Source organism: Homo sapiens, chromosome 1 (assembly GCF_000001405.40).
Source record: "Homo sapiens chromosome 1, GRCh38.p14 Primary Assembly".
Classification (NCBI taxonomy): Eukaryota; Metazoa; Chordata; class Mammalia; order Primates; family Hominidae; genus Homo; species Homo sapiens.
In genome coordinates, this window is record NC_000001.11 from 59,288,396 (window position 1) to 59,308,109 (window position 19,714).

At 41.0% G+C, this 19,714-nt stretch overlaps 1 protein-coding gene and 1 long non-coding RNA gene across 33 annotated transcripts in view, besides 3 other annotated features; one reads left to right on the plus strand and one right to left on the minus strand.

Moving 5' to 3' along the window:
* Positions 1–900: 900 nt before the first annotated feature.
* On the minus strand, positions 901–8,155 carry FGGY-DT (FGGY divergent transcript). 7 transcript variants are annotated; one of them, XR_001738090.2, is made up of 5 exons: positions 7,974–8,138; positions 7,475–7,532; positions 6,714–7,369; positions 4,938–4,995; positions 901–2,973 (listed from the first exon to the last, which is right to left on the minus strand). It is a non-coding gene; the product is annotated as an FGGY divergent transcript (long non-coding RNA). The 7 variants fall into 7 exon arrangements; XR_947417.3 differs by lacking the exon at positions 7,974–8,138 and having other exon boundaries at positions 7,475–7,553; XR_001738087.2 differs by having other exon boundaries at positions 901–7,369; positions 7,974–8,112.
* The window catches only part of FGGY (FGGY carbohydrate kinase domain containing), a 466,353-nt gene continuing 454,621 nt past the window's right edge, over positions 7,983–19,714 (plus strand). For 14 of the 26 annotated variants that reach the window (NR_103473.2, XM_047424387.1, XM_024448176.2 and 11 more), the window contains exon 1: positions 8,699–8,755. The gene's annotated coding sequence lies outside the window, so the exon portion shown is untranslated. Of the gene's footprint in view, positions 8,066–8,417; positions 8,513–8,698; positions 8,756–19,714 lie in introns of those variants that run through there. The other 12 variants (XR_007061929.1, XM_047424383.1, XM_011541730.2 and 9 more) reach the window with 2 other exon arrangements.
* Positions 8,101–8,640: a silencer, noted in NCBI's record as "silent region_940". NCBI's record gives its function as "represses an Ori minimal core promoter by ATAC-STARR-seq in GM12878 lymphoblastoid cells {active_cell/tissue: GM12878}" and the evidence as "EXISTENCE:reporter gene assay evidence [ECO:0000049][PMID:35858748]".
* Positions 8,651–8,740: a silencer, noted in NCBI's record as "silent region_941". NCBI's record gives its function as "represses an Ori minimal core promoter by ATAC-STARR-seq in GM12878 lymphoblastoid cells {active_cell/tissue: GM12878}" and the evidence as "EXISTENCE:reporter gene assay evidence [ECO:0000049][PMID:35858748]".
* Positions 10,158–11,357: an enhancer, noted in NCBI's record as "CDK7 strongly-dependent group 2 enhancer chr1:59764225-59765424 (GRCh37/hg19 assembly coordinates)". NCBI's record gives its function as "activates an origin of replication core promoter dependent on BRD2, BRD4, P300/CBP, MED14 and CDK7 cofactors, with strong dependence on CDK7, by STARR-seq in HCT116 cells {active_cell/tissue: HCT116}" and the evidence as "EXISTENCE:reporter gene assay evidence [ECO:0000049][PMID:35650434]".

The following is a 19,714-nucleotide window of genomic DNA, read 5'->3' on the forward strand; positions in this document are numbered from 1 at the left end:
ACCCAAATAATCCTACTTGAGTATGAAGTCAACACAGAAGTTAAGAGATGGAAAATGGAGAAAAAATGATCCTTGAAGACATAATTGGAATCCCCGGATTCAGCCTTTCCTGAATTTCACTTCCCTTTGAAATGCTCAGTTATATAAATCAAAGCTTTTTGGTTTATGTATTTGTTTAAGCAAATTTGAGTTATATTTTTATTTCTTGCAACCCAAAAAGTCCTGCCTAGTATACTTCCTAATAATGTAATCCTTCCCCTAATTAACATCTAATTCTCCAAATCTCCAGAGGATTTTTTGGAGCTGAAGGAGATGGGGTGGAAAGCAATATTTGTAATTATCTCAGAGTGTGTGATCAATAAAACAGGAGTCCTGGCTTCATACATTATGTAGCACTGTTAAAAATCATAAACTTTTTTTTTTTGTTTTTTTTTTTTTTTTTTTTGAGACGGAGTCTCGCTCTGTCGCCCAGGCCGGACTGCGGACTGCAGTGGCGCAATCTCGGCTCACTGCAAGCTCCGCTTCCCGGGTTCACGCCATTCTCCTGCCTCAGCCTCCCGAGTAGCTGGGACTACAGGCGCCCACCACCGCGCCCGGCTAATTTTTTGTATTTTTAGTAGAGACGGGGTTTCACCTTGTTAGTCAGGATGGTCTCGATCTCCTGACCTCATGATCCACCCGCCTCGGCCTCCCAAAGTGCTGGGATTACAGGCGTGAGCCACCGCGCCCGGCCAAAAATCATAAACTTTTAAATCATGATATAAATTTAAAACAAAACTAATTATAATGTTCAGATCATGGAAAGACCTGCTACTATTATGTCCGAGCATACTCCTCACTGTCATTTTATTTCTATATATTGTCATCAAGTATCTGATTGATTAATGAAAGAAACATGAATCCTTGAAACAAGCAAATTCATTTTCTCTTTTAATAGTAGAACACAAGCCAGATGAAATCTTTTTTTAAAGACTCTGTCATATAAAACTGACAAAAGTAAAGTTGTTCTGGTTAAAGATGCATGTGTGTATATATATATCTGTGTATGTGCATATATTTGTATGTGTGTACATATGTATCTATGCGGTCTGAGTACCTATGTGTATGTGTGTCTACATACAATTGTGTATGTTTATACATGTGTGGTATAAAGTGAATGAGACTGTATATTTACATATATGTGTGTATAAGTGTGTGTCTATATCTCTATGTGACTGTATTTGCGTCTGTGTCTATATCTCTATGTGCTACATTGTGGCTTAATTTGCATTTGTGTGTCTGTGTGTGTTTGTGTGTGTGTGTAGTGTAAGTATGGGTTTGTGCCTGTGTTTGTGTCTGTGTGCTCTGCGTTTGTGTCTACATGTGACTTTGTGCAAACATGTATGTGCCTGTGTTGTATGTGTATGCCTGTAGGTATATTTGTGTGGCTGTATGTGTGCATGTGTTGATGTGTCTGTGGTTGATGGTAGGGAGAAGGGTAAAGCTACACTATCCTATTCTGTACTTGGTGCAAATTATGAAAAGTGCCCTCTCTGGTAGGACAGAGCAGCCTCACAGGCAAAGGGATTGGCCAGCAGACTGGGGACTGGGTTTCAGTCCCCACTGGCCCCCTCATCTGGTATCTTAGAGCAGAGAGCAACTTGGTGAACATGAGGGGTATTTTGGAAGACCTGAAGTCCATTCCGTCTCTCCTTTGTTGTGCAGGCACCTTCCCATAGAACTCAGTCTGAAAACTGATATTCTCTAATTGTCCCAAAATGACACGATTCCAGAGGTGTTCATGGCAGAGTTCCTCTACCTGAAGTCCAGGAACTGCAGAGCCTCCAGGGGGCTCCTTCTTTGACTCAGCCTCAGGCCTTCAGCATGACTTCCCGCAGGTAGACCTTCTCTCACCTCCCTTTTTGGAAAGCTCAAGCCAGAGAGTCCTGCCTTAGTGTCCTACGGCCTTAGGCTCGCTTCTGCCACCTGTGGCCTTGTTGTGGAAAACACGTGTTGAGGTTTAGGGTTGCATATTGCCATGGCTCATTACATGGTTTGCAGTTTTTAAAAAATGACTCATGACTAAGAGGCTGTGGGGTTGTGATTGGGTGGCGTTAGTGGAGAAAGATATGGATGGCGTGGGACTAGTTTAGATGGAGAGTGAGGTCTTGGAGCCGGAAGTGGATGAGCAGTTCAAATGTGGAAGAGAAAACTGGTGCTGCATGTTGGCTCTAGAGGGATCATTAGGATTTAGATTCCTTTGAAGCCTTCATATCCAATATGAGCTGCCCACTTCAGCTTCTCAGCAGAAACTCCCTCTTCAGCAGTCTGACTTGTAGTGTCTTGTGATAGATGACCTTGGGCAAGTTGCTCAACCTTTGTAAGCCTCTGTTTCTTCAGTAATAGCCCCTATTTACTCATGTGGGTGGTTAGGAGGAATAATGACATAGTCTATGTGATGACCTGGGAGCACAGGGCTCAGTGAATATTGTTGCAGCCTTTTCTCCCCTTTCGCTATACCCTCTTCTTCCACCTCTGGATGCCCATAGCACTTCATCTGCCCGTAGTACAGCATCCAGCTCTGGCCTAGCACTTGGCAAGTGCTCAGTAGTCAGTAGATATTTGTTGAGTGAAGAGTTAAAAGAAGTCAGGCAGGCAAACGGAGGGAAAATAGTAAGTAGCAGACAAGTAATAAAGTAAGTTGAAACATTTTCCCACCTTTGGAAATGAACTAATAGCATCCTTTGATATGAAAGTTGAACAAACAATGATTTTGTATCTGTAAAATGTAGCTGTAGGTGATGGTCAGGGTAGGGAGCTCAGTAGGCACTTCTGATTGCTGGTTTCCTGTTTGTGATCATCTGTCAGGTCTACAGTGGACCACTTCAGTTTTCCCTTTGATATGACAGGGTGAATTTGGAAGAGAGAGAGTGTCTGTATGTAATGGCACCTGTTCCTGCCAGAGGGTCAAGTTTCAGAGAGGCTTAAAGGAATCTAAATGGCGAAAGAAAGAAAGGAAGAAAGATAGGAGAAAACAAATCTTATTAGTAATGAGAGATGCAGTAGGCAGGTAAGGGCTGTCATCACCATAATTATATACCAGGTATTAATCACTGCTATTATAGAGCACAATGCTAGTTGCTGAGATTGTGAAGTAGAATTCCAGGTTTTTGCCCTCCAGAGGCTTCCAATCTAGAAAATGGAATTGGTTAGAAGATGAAGGGGTATCAAACATTATCTGTCTGTTGAGTACTGTGACAAATGCTTAAAGGTATTTTGTAAGATATAATCATTCTCCAAGGAGAATCTAAGGTTCAGAGAGATTAAGAAACTTTCTTCAGCTCATCCATCAAACAATCTGTAGAACTGGGAGAAGGCCCAAGTCTGTCTGGCTCTAATGGCATTGTACTGTCTGTAGGCCTCTGAGTAAGAGCATCAGGGCAAGCATGTGAAAAAGAGAATTAACTTGACAAGCTATCCTAGGTTCAAGGCCATGTAAGTAATATTTGATGATTGTTGCAGGAATCCTACAAGAAAAGAGATTTATTGAGATAGAAGGAGGAACTTTACAGAGGAGGTACATCCTCAACTAGATACTGATGGCAGAATATGAATCCAATAAGAATGAAGGGAGAGGCATTTTAGGTGGAAGTAGGCATGGTATGTGCAAAGGTGGGAAGTGGGAAAATTTTCACCTTCCGGGTTTCTGTTATGCAGCACGGAGTACCAGAGAGAGCACAACCTGCTCCAAACTTACTAATAGTGCTTCCCTAGCCCAGTCACCCAATTTCCATAAACCTCGGTTTCCCTATCTGTACAATAGTTGTGATAATAGGCACTTCATAGAGTTGTTGAGACCAGAAACAATGTGTGTAATGTTATCTGCCTCTTCAAAATCCCCACTCTAAATTAAACTTCAATCAAAATCAGCTTCCCTCTCTTACAGTTTTCTGTTTTCCTTTCTACTTGCACTTGAATCAACTACATATTTGTGTGTTTATTTCTTTAATGTGTTTCCTGACTGTAAGTTCCATGAGGACAAGGAAAATATCTGTTCATCTCAAACACTATCTCTTTAATGCCTAGAACAGTACTCAATAAATCTTTGTTGAATGAATGAATACATAAATGTAGGAATGAATAAATGAATAATAAGATCTATTTCTGTGCTATGATTCTAAGAATCTTAGGGAAAATATCTCTTTTCTCTGGTAATGGGCAGGTTGCTAATGCAGGAAAAGCTTTCATAGAATGCAGTTAGAGCATTACAGGGCCTCCACAGCTTACCAGAGAAGCTCCGTGTCTCCTCTCTGTCTACTATATGGAACCATCTCTGAGCAGGAAGGAAATTACACAAACTTTCAGCTCAGCTGGTTCCAGAGTTTCACAACCCAGCTCTGTCTTGCTTACATCTGACGTGCTACTTCACTGGTGTGACCTCCAGTGTGCTTAGTGGATAATGACACTGCATAATCCCCATGCTGCCCCACAATGACCCTGAGTGATGTCTAGACTTTCCAGTAATCAAGTCTTATAATTCAATGCAATGCAATAACCTTTTATGTATTGTTGGGGAGAATAGGGAATATATAGATGCACTGATAATTACTAGGCATTTGATATATGGCCTGTGATAGAGATAAGGGCAGGAAACTAAAGGGTACAGAGGAAGCTATGTGGCCCAGCCTGATGTGAAACAATGGATGTATGGTTGGATAACATTTATATATTTTCAAAGTGTGATTATATATTTCATCCCTTAGTCTCCCTGTAGTCACGGGGAAGTATAGATAGCATTTGCATTATTTGTTCTTATTATATATAGAGAGAAATTGAGGCAAATGAGGGTGGTCCGGGACATAGATCTGGTTTCAGTGGCTGTCTTAGTCTGTTCTGTGCTGCTATAACAGAATGCCAGAGGCTGGGTAACTTATAAAGAAAAAAAATTTATTTCTCACGTTTCTAAAGGCAGGAAGTCCAATATCAAGTTGCTGGCATCTGGGGAGTGTCTTCTTCCTGTGTCATCCCATGGCAGAAGGTGAGAGGGTGAGAAAGAGGGGTTGGGAAATCAAACTTGCCCTTTTATAATGAACTAATTCCTGTGACAATGGTATTAATCCATTCATGAGGGTGAAGCCTGCATGGCCTAACCACCTCTCATTAGGCCTCACCTCCCAACACTGTTGCATTGGGGATTAAGTTTCCAATACATGCTTTCTTGGGGACACATTCAAATCGTAGCAATGGCAGATATGAACTCATGGCCGTCAGTTTAGGGATCTTCTGAACCACACTGTCATTAGCCCTTATGTTGGACAGCAGTATGAGCATGCTTGCAATTTCACAATGTCACAGAAGGTGGGGGACCTTCTATAATATGTCCTCTATGCACTTTTGTGATGGAACATCAGAATACAATAAATTAGTGATACAGAAGTGCTGGGAAGTGAAGGGTGTGTCCCTTTAAATGATAGGGAAGGGGGCAGGGACATGCGTATGTGTGCCCAAGGACCTAGGTGAGGACAGGCATAATTTTGTTTTCCTGCCCAAATATTGCATTTCCCAAGACAACCCTGGCCTGCCACACCCCCATCCTGTGCTATAAAAACCATGAGACCCTAGCAGGTAGACAAACAGGCGGCTGGACGTCGAGAGGAGCACATCAGCGGAGGAACACGCGGGCAGCTGGACGTTGAGAGAACACACTTACGCCAGCAGGCCACCAACTGGCAGAATGACATGGAGTTTGGCTGGGGCAGTGGGAGGAGAGCCTGGGCCGCCAAGCGGCCCGACACCAGGGGAAAACCATCTCCCTTTTGGCTCCTCCACCTGCTGAGAGCTACTTTCACTCCATAAAACCTTGCAATCATTCTCCAAGCCCACGTGTGATCCAATTCTTCTGCTACACCAAGGCAAGAACCCCGAGATACAGAAAGCCCTCTGTCCTTGCAATAAGGCAGGGGTTTAATTGAGCTGGCTAACACAAGCCACCCACGGACGGCTAAACTAAAAGAGCACCCTGCTACATGTGCCCACTGGGGCTTTGGCTGTAAACAGTCACCCCTAGACACTGCCGTGGGGTCAGATCTCCACAGCCTACCTGTCTGTATGCTTCCCTAGAGGTTTGTGCAGTGGGGACTGAAGAAGTGAGTCACACCCACATCGCACGCCCTGTGAAGGGGACAAGGGAACTTTTCCCATTTCATTAGGGGTTGGCAAACTAAGGCTCATGGGCCACATTGTCCATTGCCTGCTTGTGTAAGTAAAGTTTTATTGAAACATAGTCATACCTACTCATTTACTATTGTCTATGGCTGCTTTTACATTACAAAGTTGAGTAGTTGCAACAGAGACTGTATTGCTCACAAAGTCTAAAATATTTACTATCGGTCCTTTACAGAAAAAGTGTCACTCCCTGGAATAAATGAATCAAATGGAAGTAAATGGAAAAAAAAAAAAGGATTCATTCATTCGTAATAGGCAGTGTATCATAACTGAAAAAGATAGTGAAAATTGGTTTCAGACAAACCCAGGTAAGAATCTCACCTTCGCCACTTGGCTGGAAAACTCTGAACAAATTATTTTTACTCTTTGGGCCTGTTTCTGCATCTATCACCTTATAAGGTTGCTGTCTGAGAATTCTACTATACAATGTAATGTATCTGTTAGAGTGTAATATATCTGTTATTAGGTTTGACCTCATACAATAGAAACACAAAATAAAAGTGTCTTACACAGGACAGCAGTTTTTTTCTTTCATGTGGAGGTCTGGAGGGCAGTGGGTATTGATTGGTTCAGTGCCTCCTGCATTAGGAATCCACGCTTCTTTCACTTTGTTGCTTTGCTGTGTGTGGGTTTCATTCCTGAGGTCCTTTCATGGTTCAACACGGCTGCTGGAGCAAATAAAAAATCAAATACACAAAAGCCCAGAGAAAGAGCCATCCACAGAGGCCAGGCAACAAATCCACTTATTCAAGTCTAGCCAAGATGAGACCCCCTTGCCACAGTGCATGAAACCAGCATATTCCACTTATTCCATTCTTGGGGTACGTTGAAACAGATCTGGAAGCAATGTCTTCTGTGTATTAAGCATCTAACACTTTACAAAGCATTTTCATATGTCTTACCACATTTGTTCTTCATAATGTTCTGAAAAGGTAAGATGAATACATCTTATTATTCCTATTGAACACTTGATTCACACAGCTGCTAAGTAACAGATTCCAACGAGTCTATAGCTAGGTCTTTGGGTATGTTGCTGGTAATGAAAAGGTGAACAATCATGGTGCAGAAGAAAGAAAATGAGCCAAACCAGGATCCCTGGTAGAGTTGTAGTGCAAAGACTGGGGTTAATTGTGTGGCCTCAGCCTCACTGGGCTGTTCTCCTCACCTGTAAGACCAAGATAAGAGCACTTATTTACTTCGGGGTTGTTGTGAAGATAGCAGACAATCTTAGTGCACCTGCCACTTAAGATCCGTTCAGTGAAATTATTACCTTTCACAGGTGTGTCTTTGGAAAATCACTTCCCTTTCCTGGATCTCAGTTTTCTTTTCTAGGAAAACAACATGTTTGGACTCAGCGACTGCTAAACTGTCTCCCAAACCTCGAACTCCCTCAGCCTGGGATCCTGCCTTTTATGAAAATAGTTCGGATTGGAGCTCAGGTTGGAATTCTCGCTTTAGTTGCTTGCTAGCTGTGTGTCCCAGTAAAAGCTAAAAATTTCGGATTCCCCACATCTGTAGAATAGGGATACATAACATGCAGCTTATTAGAAAGGGAAGGCATGTGAGAATTAAATTAGGTCCGTGTCCAGTACCCACTAAATTGTAAAAACTTCTCAAAGGCAGGGACCCATCTGTTTTGTAGATTTACAGAATGTCATACGTTGAAGTACGGGGGTTCGCCACGGGATTAGAAAATTTCTGTAGAGTAAGGAACAAGACACAAGGTAAGCATTCAAGAATTGTAACCATGCAATATTCTTATTTCTTACAGTCGCCTACAACAGTCCTGGTGTTTAGTAAACGGTCTGACACACACACCCATCAGGGGCTGCGGAGAGTCCGCCTGGGTAAGCTCCGCAAGGTGAGTCCCCAGAGCCGGGAACTCGCAGCCTGAGCAGACGCAGCGTAGCCGATCTTGGGTCCGCGCTCCTCCCGCCTTGCCCAGCCCTGCCCGCGGTTGGCTAGGCCCCAGGGAACGCTGCAGCCGCGGGGTGGGCAGGCGACGGCCAATCCCACGCCCGGTTCAAAGGGCCAATCAGGCCGCGCTTTACAGGGGCCGCGCTTTACAGGGGCCGCGCTTTACAGGGGCCGCGCTTTACAGGGGCCGCGCTTTACAGGGGCCGCGCTTTACAGGGGCCGCGCTTTACAGGGGCCGCGCTTTACAGGGGCCGCGCCGGCGGGGGCGGGATCGCGCGCAAGGCGGGGCTGTAGCCGCCCCGGGACCGCCCTGCTCAGGCGCCGTGGGGTTCGGCGCGGCTACGTGCAGAATCCGTCTAGCTAAAATGTAATTTCAGATTGGACAAGTACTGTAAGTGACCCTCCTCTCAGTCCCACGTGGGCGCTGGGGGCTTTTGCTGGTGCGCAGGCTCTTAGCGCGCACGCCCAGAAAGAGGCTTCTCCAACCCGGCCCGGCCCTTCCTTCCCCTTTCCCGCAGTCGTTGCCTCCTCCTCCCCTGCCTCCTCCTCCCCTTCCTCCTCCTGGCCGCTTAGTCTCACACCCGCCGGGCCGTTGTTCCCGAGACGTTGTTGAGTCCCCTGTGTCCTCTTCTGGGTGAGGCGTCCGGCCACTTAAGGGAAGGGAAGGGAAGGGTCGGCCTTGACTGCATCCCCAAGGCTGCCTATTAGGTGTCTGGAACCCGTGCTGCTTCCTCTCCGATCAGTGCCCACTTATCTGTATTCAGTACTCTTTCTCTCCTCCCCTTACCCTTGTAGGACATTTTCCTGGCATTTGAGGAGCCTTTAATTCACGTCTGGCTACCGAAGGCATTTTTAGGCTAGTGTTGCTTGTAGATTTAAACGCTTCCAGCACTTGTGATAATGTTTGAGGCACAGCTGAGTTTAGATGAGATAATGCTGTTTGGTTACAGTTATCCTGAGTAGAAAGGCCTAGGGATATCTTTTCATTTTTAGCCGTTTCCTTTTTATTTAAAGATTGACAAGGGGCCGGGCGCGGTGGCTCACGCCTGTAATCCCAGCACTTTGGGAGGCCAAGGCGGGTGGATCACGAGGTCAGGAGATCGAGACCATCCAGGCTAACACGGTGAAACCCCCGTCTCTACTAAAAATACAAAAAATTAGCCGGGCGTGGTGGCGGGCGCCTGCAGTCCCAGCTTCTCGGGAGGCTGAGGCAGGAGAATAGCGTGAACCCAGGAGGCGGAGCTTGCAGTGAGCTGAGATCGTGCCACTGCACTCCAGCCTGGGGGACAGAGCGTCTCAGAAAAAAAAAAAAAAAATTGACAAGGTGCAAAATGGTGAATTTCCCTCATCATGGGCTGTTTTCCACTAAAGCACTTCTGTGTCTTAACACAAATTTCTTCCCCGAAGAGTCAGTCATGACATGACCAAAGTCTGAAAAGCAGTTAATCCTTAGGTTAAATTTTAAAGTATGAGACCAGGAGGGGTGAGGTGCTTATTCTTTTGACTTGTAAATCAGAATGAAAGAAGGGAAAGTCTTTTATTTTGTGGCTGTTATTTAAATGGTAGAGTTTTGCTTTGTATAGTTTTTGCTTGCTTTTCCTCTTTTTTTTCTATGATCCACCACGTGTATGTCCTGATTTTTTTCCTTTTTAACTTGCTTGCTGGATTTTCCAGCCAGATGACTGCCGCTTGGTCTTCTGGGAGTCTCCTGTTAATGGGGCCCTCATGCTTGGCTCTTGACCTGATGGCCACTGGCCTGGCTCTTGGAGGACCTCCTAGTGGGAGGCCCAGAGCACTGTTATTAAGGATGATTGGGGGAACAGATCAGAGGGGGTCAGCTGGGCCTGGAGATCAATTTTGAGGGGGAGGGAGGTTGGGAGCCTGCCTGGCTGGATTTGGAAGTCAAAACATGTGTGCTGGGAGAAGGGCATAACCCCAGAGGGTGGAGAGCCATGTCTTTCTGGATAAAATTAATAAGTTTACTGGGAGGAGGCTGGGCCTTCCAGGCTGTGTTAGTTTTTGTTGTGGGCCTTGGCTTTTCCTGGAATTTGGTTCCCTTTCCCTAACCTTTCACTTATTAGTTTAAATAGTTCCCTTTACCTAACCTTTCACTTATTGATTTAAATAGTTTAAATCACAGTCAATTACCAGCTGGTTTTTAAAATAATTTGAGGTAATGAATCTTGCCCTTAATCTCCTAGCCAGAGTGGAACCCCCTACCTCCACCCCCAGGGGGATTTGAAATGATTATTTTACCAGAACGTGCTACAGAGATCACTTACCTTCTCACCCGCCCACCTTTTTATAATGGAGGGACATAGAATCAACCCAGGTGGTGTCAGAGATCATCCAAATCAGTTCTTCATGTATTCATTTGTTCACTCATCTTGTCCACATACTTTGGGCCCAGAACTGTGGTAGTCTCTGGGAAAGTGCAGATGAGTAAGACTTGGTCTCTGCTTTCAAGCTTTCATCCAGTTTGCTTCAATCCACTTTGATGAGGGAGATTATGTGATAGTGAGATGAGTACATTGAAAAGGTATGCCGAAGACTCCCAGGAGTTGAGAGAAGGGCAAATGGCTCAACATGGGGAAGCCATTTGGGGAGGACTTCCCAGAAGGGAATACTGGAGCCGAGTTCCAAAGCCTAAGTATGAGTGGGCTGGAGAAAGAGCGAGGGATTATATGAACCGGGAACAGCATGTGCAGAACTACACAAGCATGGCACATGGTTGATTAGGATGGCTGTGCAGGAAAGGATAAGTTGGAAAAAATCACCTGACAGGAGGCTGGGGAGGGTGAAGGCCAGGTCAGGAAGGGTCTGGTGAATCATCTTAGGGGAGTTTGAAATATATCTCCAGGGCAAACAGTGATACATACTCTCAGGTTTATGTTATAGAAAATTAATTCTGGCTGCAGTTTGGAGAATGAATTGGATTGGCGAAGCCCGGAGAGAGGTAATTGTAGTAATATAGGTGAGAGACGTGTTAGGGTAATAGTTATGGGAGTGGAGAGAGATTAGGAAAATAGAATGGTTAGGAATGTTATAAAGGTTCAGTGCCACAAAAGAAATAGCACTTGAATATCAAATTTTCTTTTTTCTTCTCAGCAAGGCCATTTACTTCTATAGAAGGGTGCGCCCTCACAGATGGAGCAATGGTGAGCGCACACCTGGACAAGGGTGGGGGGGCGGGTCTTATGCCTGACGCACGTGGCCCCTGTTGCTGTGTCGTTCCCCTATTGGCTAGGGTTAGACTGCACAGGCTAAACTAATTCCAATTGGCTAATTTAAAGAGAGTGACGATGTGAGTGGTTTGGCGGGAAAAATGGTTATGGCAGAGCAGGAAATCGGAATGAGTCAGGGTGGAGAATGAGCAGGTAATCGGAATGAGTCAGTGAGTCTGGGTGGAGCAGGTGATCGAAAAAGCTTGCTTTATGAGGACGTTAAATTTAAAAGTAGAAAAGAATTGAACATACTGACATATTGATTCTTTGAAGAGAAATTTAGAGCTCATATCTAATGGAAATTAATTACTGACTGAATGTAGGGATAAGAAGGAATGTAGTCATCAGTAGGTGTTCTTGAGTGGGCTATTTTGTAGCAGCTTTAGTGAGGAATAACTGACATCCAGTAAACTACGTATTGAGAGTGTCTAATTGGAGAAGTTTTGTTATATGCATATATCTATGAAAACCATCATGACCATCAAAAGAACATACCTAATAACCCCAAAGATTGCTTGTGCCCTTTTTAATTCCTCTTTGTATACCCCCTAAGGTAAAGTATGTATTCAATCTTTCGTCCATTTTAAAAAATGAGCCTTTTATTTTCTTTTTATTGAGCTTTGAGAATTCTTTATTCTTATCATAAGTTCTTTATCACGTGTAACTTGCAGATATTTTCTTATTTTGATGCTTGTCTCAACAGTGTCTTTTGAAAGCAGAGTTCTTAATTTTGATGAAGTCTAATTTATAATTTGGTTAAATAAATGTTACCAATCTGAATTATAATGGATCATGCTTTTTGTGTTTTATCTAAGATATCTTTGCTTAACCTAAGGTCTCAAATATTCTTCCTATTTTTAAAAGAAGTTTTGTCATTTTTGGTTTTATATTAAATCTGTGATCATTTTAAGGTAATTTTTGTATAGGACATGAAATATGGAATCAAGTTTTTTTTTTGCATATGGCTATCCAGTTCCAGCACTGTTTGCTGAAAAGCCTATCTTCATTGAATTGCCTTTGCACCTTTGTTCAAAAATCAATTTACCATGTATACATTGGCCCAATTTTGTGTTTTATTTTGTTCAGTTGATCTCTTGTCTATTTTAATGCGAACACCACATAGTCTTATAAATACAGCTTTGTAATAAGTACTGAAATCAGGTAGTATAAGTCCTTTAATTTTGTTCTTTTTAAAATTTGTTTTGATTATTCTAGGTTCTATTTCCATATGAATTTTATAATCACTTTGTCCATTTCAAAATAAGGCCTATTTAGATTTTAACTGGAATTGTATTGAATGTATACATTAATTTGGGGGGAGAATTGACATTTGAAATACCAAGTCTTCTGACCCGTGGACACAGTATATCTGTTCATTTATTTAAGTCTTCCTTATTTCTCTAGGCAATGTTTTGTAGCTCTCAATATGTAGGTCTTACACATCTTTGTTGGATTATCTGTAGGTATTTCCTATTTTTTGATGATATTGTAAATGATATTAAAATTTTATGTATTTTAAAAATTTATTTTCCAGTTGTTTTCTTGTTACTGGTATATTGATTGTGTATCCTGAAATCTTGCTCATGTGCTTATTATTTCTAAGAGCATTTTTGTAGATGCCATCAGATTTTCTATTTAGGTGATCCTGTCATCTGTAAATAAAGATAGTTTTACTTCCTTTCCGATGAGATTGCCTTTTATTTTTCTTGCTGTATTCCACTAGCCAGAACCATTGCTTTGCATAGAACTGATGAGAGCTGACATCTTGCCTTCTTCCTGATCTGAGGGAGATGCATTCATTTTTTCATTATTAAGTATGATGCATGATGCTAGTTGTATATCTTTTGTAGATATGCTTTATTAGGTTTAGGAAGTTTCATTGTATTCCTACTTTACTGAGAATTTTTTTAAAGGAATAATGGAAGTTGTAATTTTGTTGTTTTTCCTATAACTGTTGTGATCATTCTTTTTTTTTTTTTTTTTTTTTTTTGAGATGGAGTTTCGCTCTTGTTGCCCAGGCTGGAGTGAAGTGGCGTGATCTCGGCTCACTGCAACCTCCACCTCCCAGGTTCAAGCGATTCTCCTGCCTCAGCTTCCCGAGCAGCTGGGATTACAGGCACGCACCACCACACCCAGCTGATTTTGTATTTTTCTTTCTTTCTTTTTTTTTTTTTTAAGTAGAGATGGGGTTTCTCCATGTTGGTCAGGCTGGTCTTGATCTCCTGACCTTAGGTGATCTGCCCTCCTTGGCCTCCCAAAGTGTTGGGATTACAGGCGTGAGCCACTGCGCCCAGCTGATCATTTATATTTTTAAAAAAGATTCTTAATGTGGTGAATTACATTTATTGGTTTTTTTTTCCAATGTTAAATCTTGTGTTCCTGAGATAAACCCTATTGGTCAGGGCATATTATCCTTTTTTTATATTGCTGAATTTTATTAGCTGAAGTTTGAAGAATTTTTGTATCCATCCTTATGATGGATATTGATCTATAGTTTTCTTGTATCAGCTAAATACCTGACCTCTCGGTAAATCTGGCCTCGTAGAATGAATTAGGAAGTATTTCTTCCATTTTGATTTTTTCTGGAAGAGATTATGTAGAATTGGTATTTTTGTTTCTTAAATGTTATTGCAGCACTATTCACAATAGCAAAGACATGGAATCAGTCTAAATGCCGGTCAATGGTAGATTGGATAAAGAAAATGTGGTACATATGCACCATGGAATACTATGCAGCCATAAAAAAGAACATGATCATGTCCTTTACAGCAGCATGGATGGAGCAAGCTGGAGAACATTATCCTGAGCCAGCTAACACAGAAACAGAAAACCAAAAATACTGCATGTTCTCACTTATAAGTGAGAGCTAAACAATGAGAACAAATGGACACAAAGAGGGGAACAACAGACACTGAGATCTACTTGAGGGTTAGATCTACTTGAGGGGGTAGGAGGAAAGAGGATTAGAAAAAAAAATAATTTATTAATATAAAAAATGCAAACCTAAAGTATTTAAATAAAATTGAACTTTATTCAGTTTGTTGAAAGTTTAATTGAATCTTATTAAATAAGTTTTAAAAAATAAAGCCATTCACAATTCCAAAAAAAACCCCAAAAAACCCTGTTTAGTAGGATTCACTAGTGAAGCCATCAGGGCCTGGAGTTGTTGTTTTGGGGGCAGGAGGTTAAATACAAAGTCGTTTGATTACATAGATATAGGATTGTTCAGGTTATCTATTTCCTTTTTCCCCCAGCTTTATTGAGGTATGACTGATGAGTAAAAATTGTACATGCTCAAGGTGTGCAACGCAATTTGATATACATTGTGAAATGATTACCACAATCAAGCTAATTATATCCATCACCTCATGTACTCTTTCTTGGTGTGGTGAGAACACTTAAGATTTACTCTCTTAGCACATTTTAAGTATACAGTAAATTATCAACTGTAATCACTATGTTGTACATTAGATCTCCAGAATTTTTCTAATAACTGAAAGTTTGTATTCTTTGGCCAACATTTCCCCATTTCCTCAATCCCTGGTAACCACCATTCTCCTCTCTGCTTTAATGAGTTGGACTTTTTTAGATTCTTCATATAAGGAATATCATGCAGTGTTTGTCTTTCTGTTTTTGGCTTATTTCAATAGGATGTTGTACTCTTAAGTTCATCCGTATTGTGGCAAATGGCAGGAATCTTTAAGACTGAATAATATTCCATTGTGTATATATGTATGACATTTTCATTATCCATTCACCCATCTGTGGACATTAAGGTTGTTTTCATATCTTAGTTATTGTGAGTAATGCTGCAATGAACATGGGAGTACAGCTATTACACCAAGTAGTGATTTCATTTCTTTTGGATATATATCCAGAAGTAAGATTACTATATCATATGGTAGTTCTATTTTTATTATTTTGAGGAACTTCTGTACTGTTTGCCATAATGCTGTACCAATTTACATTCCTACCAACAGTGTACAATGGTTCCCTTTTCTCCATATTCTCATCAATACTTATTCTTTGACTTTTGATAATAGCTATCCTAATAGGTATGAAGTGATTTCTCATTGTGCTTTTGATTTACACTTTGCTGATGATTAGTCATGGGTGAGCACGTTTTCATATACCTATTAGGCATTTGTATGTCATCTTTGGGAAAATGTCTATTCGAGTTCTTTGCCCATTAAAAAAAATTAAGTTACTTGAGTTGTATACATTTTTAAAAATATATTTTGGATTTTAAGCCCTTATTGGGATATATGATTTGTAAATATTTTCTCTTTTAGAGGTTGCTTTTTCATTTTCTCGATTGTTTCCTTTGCTGTGCAGAAACTTTGATGTAGCCTCACTTGTTTATTTTTGCTTTTATTGCTCATGCTTTTGATGTCATATCCAAAAAATCATAGCCAAGACCAATGTCGAGGAGTTTTTTGTCGTTTTCTTCTAGGAGTTTTAATGTTGCAGGTCTTATGTTTACAACTGTAATCCATTTTGAGTTGATTTTTGTGTATAGTATAAGGGTTCAATTTCATTCTTTCGCATGTGACTATCCAGTTTTTCCAACACCATTTATTCAAGAGACTTCCTTTTCCCCATTGTGTTTTTGTTGCTTTTGTCAAAGGGTAGTTGATTGTATATGAGTAGTTTATTTCTGGGTTTTCTATTGGTTCCATTAGTGTATATGTCTCTTTTTATTCCAGCACCATATTGTTATGATTATTATAGCTTTGTAATATAATTTGAAATTGGGAAGTGTGATGTCTCCAGCTTTGTTCTTTCCCAAGATTGCTTTAGCTATTTGGAGTTTTTTGTGGTTCCATATGAATTTTAGGATTGTTTTTCTCTATTTTTTTTTTAAATGCCATTGGTATTTTGATAGAAATTACTTTGAATCTGCAGATCACTTTGAGTAGTATGGTTATTTTAGCAATATTATTTCTACCAGTCTGTGAACATGGATATGTTTCCATTTATTTGTGTCTTCTTCAGTTTCTTTCATCATAGGTTTATAGTTTTCAATATACAAATCTTTCACCTCCTTGGTAAATTTTTTCCTAAGTACTTTTTCCTTTTTGATGCCCTTCTAAGTGAGATTGTTAATTTCTTTTTGGGGTAGTTCATTGTTAGTGAATAGAAATGCGGCTGCTTTTTGTTATGTTGATTTTTTATTCTACAGCTTTATTGATTTAATTTATTAGTTCTAACAGTTTTTTGGAGTCTTTGGGTGGTTTTCTATATATAATATCATGTCATCTGTAAACAGACAATGTTATCCCTTCCTTTCCAATCTGGATGCCTTTCATTTAGTTTTCTTTTGTAATTGCTCTAGCTAGGACTTCCAATACTGTGCTGAATAGTAGTGGTAAGAGTGGGCATTCTCTCTTGTTCCTGATCTTAAAGGAAAAGCTTTCGGCTTTTTGATGTTGAGTATCATATTGGCTTTGGGCTTGTCATATATAGTCTGTATAATGTTGAGGTGGATTCCTTCTATATCTAATTTGTGATAGTTTTTATTGTGAAAGTATGTTGAATTTTGTCAAATGCTTTTGCAGAATCTATTGAGATGATAGTATTTTTATCCTTTGTTCTGTGAATGTAGTGTATCACATTTATTGATTTGCATATGTTGAACCATCCTTGCATTACAAGGATAGTTACTTACTTGATCATGGTGAATGATCTTCTTAATGTGCTGTTGAATTTGGTTTGCTAGTATTTTATTGGGGATTTTTGCATCTGTGTTCATTGTGGATATTGGCCTGTAATTATCTTTTCTCATAATGTCCTTGTCTAGCTTTAGTTTAAGGGTAATGGTAATGCTGGCCTCATAAAATGAGTGTGGAAGTATTCCTTCCTCTTTAATTTTTTATAAGAGTTCAAGAAGAATTTTATTAATTGTTTAAATGCTTGGTAGAATTTATACTCTACCCAATTCCCTCTGAGTTATGAGGCTTTCTACTCTGGCTGTTATGAATAGAACTATTCCTGGCCTTATGTGAAGCCCACTGATTTGTTCTCTCTAATCCTTTTTGGTGCTTCTGCCTCAGATTGTTTTCACATATAGATGCATTAGTACGGATGATTAGTACTCTCCTGAATACTTGGGGAGTACCTTTGCAATTCTCTGGCATTCTTCTTCTGTGCAGCTCTCTCCTCTCTTGCCCAAGATTCTAGCCTTTTTGTTCTCCACAGACTTTCAGCTCTGTCTCCTCAACTCAGGGAGACTGCTGGGCTTGGCCTGTGTTCATCCTTTTTGTGCCACAATCTGCAGACATATCCCAGGGATTAAACTTGAGCCATTGAAGGACTTATCTCATTTTTTCCCATCTCTGTGTGATTACTCTGTTGCCTGATGTCCAATGTCATGAGAATCTTTGTTTTCTATTTTTTTCCCCATTGTTTTAAGCAGGGAGGTAAATATGGTTCCTGTCACTACATCTTGGCTGGAATTGGAAGCATTCAACTAGAATTTTTGAGGAAAATATAAATAAGGGACTATCTAAAGATGTGAGGAGGGGATTTTTGAGGTACTCAGATACCAATAATAAAGGGGAACTTTTACCACTTCAAGGTGCTAAGAGCATGGTGAAGGAAGTATATCAGAGGGAAAAACATAAGCTATAACTAAATTAGGATAATTTTCAATAAAAGAACTATTGAGTAAGTGAGGGCAGCCTGAATGCCTGGGTCTAGTAACAGTAAGACTGTTACATCCTTAGACCCAAAGGGGTGAGGGAAGGACTGGTTACCAGAACCCAAAAGGAGAAATCGTGTGGAGAAGCCTGCCTGGAGAGGATCTGTTATTTTAGCCCAAGAGAAGCAGCTGGCCCAGGCCAACTCTACAGGAAAAGAGGCCTGACCTTACTCTTCTCCTTCCTTTGAGGCTTCAGCTAGAGCTCTCCATTGCTCAAACCCAACTAGAAGACAGAGGATTAGAGAGTCTTGGAGATCCAGATTATTGTCCCCAGGACAGATAGCAGGGAGGGAAGGTAGAGAATGGATATGTAGTTGGGGAAGAATATACAGTGACATATGTATAGAGTGCACTTAGGAAGGATAGGAAAATCAAATAAAAATTGTTCAGGCTAAATATATTACCAGTCCCTTAACCATCTAGATTTGGGGCTGAGCTACACTGAAATCCATTGCAGATTATGCTGAGAGCTGAATAGCTTGGATTCTGCTAAACAGGCTATGGGAGAGAGATTAAGAAAGGACTCGGTTGCTGACTGGATATTGCAAGATGAAAATTGAGAAGAAGACAAAGTCTATAAAATGAAGAATGAGGCCAAGCACGGTGGCTCATGTCTGTAATCTCAGAACTTTGGGAGGCCGAGGTGGGAGGATAGCTTGAGCCCAGGAATTCGAGACCAGCCTGGCCAACATGGCAAAACACCATCTCTATAAAAAATCTAAAATTATTGTGTCATGATGGTGCATGCCTGTAGTCCCAGCTACTCGTGAGGCTGTTATGGGAGAATGGCTTGAGCCCAGGAGGTCGAGGCCACAATGAGCTATAATTGCATCACTACACTCCAGCCTGGGTGATAGAGTGAGACCCTGTCTCAAAAAAAAAAAAAAAAAAAAAAAAATCGAGTGATTTAGACAGATCAAACTCAATCTAGTTAACCAAATATTGGGATTGTAGAATTATGTGGCAGCTTTGACATTTGAATAAGGCTATTGTTAGGATCTTTAAAAAATTGTCATGTGACATAGTAGAAAGAACATAGGATTGAAATCCTTCTCTGTTATTCACTGACTCTATGACCCTGACAGGTGACCTAACTGCTCAGAACCTTGGTTTCCCATCTAAAAGTTGCAGAAAAGATTAGCAAGGCCATCTGGTAAGTCACTGGCACCACATCTTGCACAGAGTAAATGTTCATAAGAAATTTATTGATGTAAGATGAGGGTTGGCTCAAAATATAAGTAAGTCTAAAAAGCATTTGGATTCATGTGAAGCTACATATTGATAAAACACAGATAACACTAATTCTAGTGAACCCTTAAGGGAAGAATAGTGTATTTGACAAGGATTACCTCAAAATTCCCCTCAAAGACAGTTTGTGAAGAAGCCCCAGCTCCCTTTCCCTTCTCCCTTAAAAAGCAGATTATTTTTTATGTTAGTTAGAACAAACTATAGATAGTTTGTTCCTATCAAGAACAACTTATCCTTGTCAGAGATTGGATGCTGGGCTGGATGGGCCAGTGATGTGTCCCAGCATGTGTTGCATCCAGGGGGTCTCCAGGAAGGGAGAGGGAAAAGGAAGACTTCCTGTGTGCTTACCGTGTGCAGCTAGCCCAGCTTACCTCATCTCCATGCAGTGTCATGTAGAAACATGGGTGACTGAAGATCATTC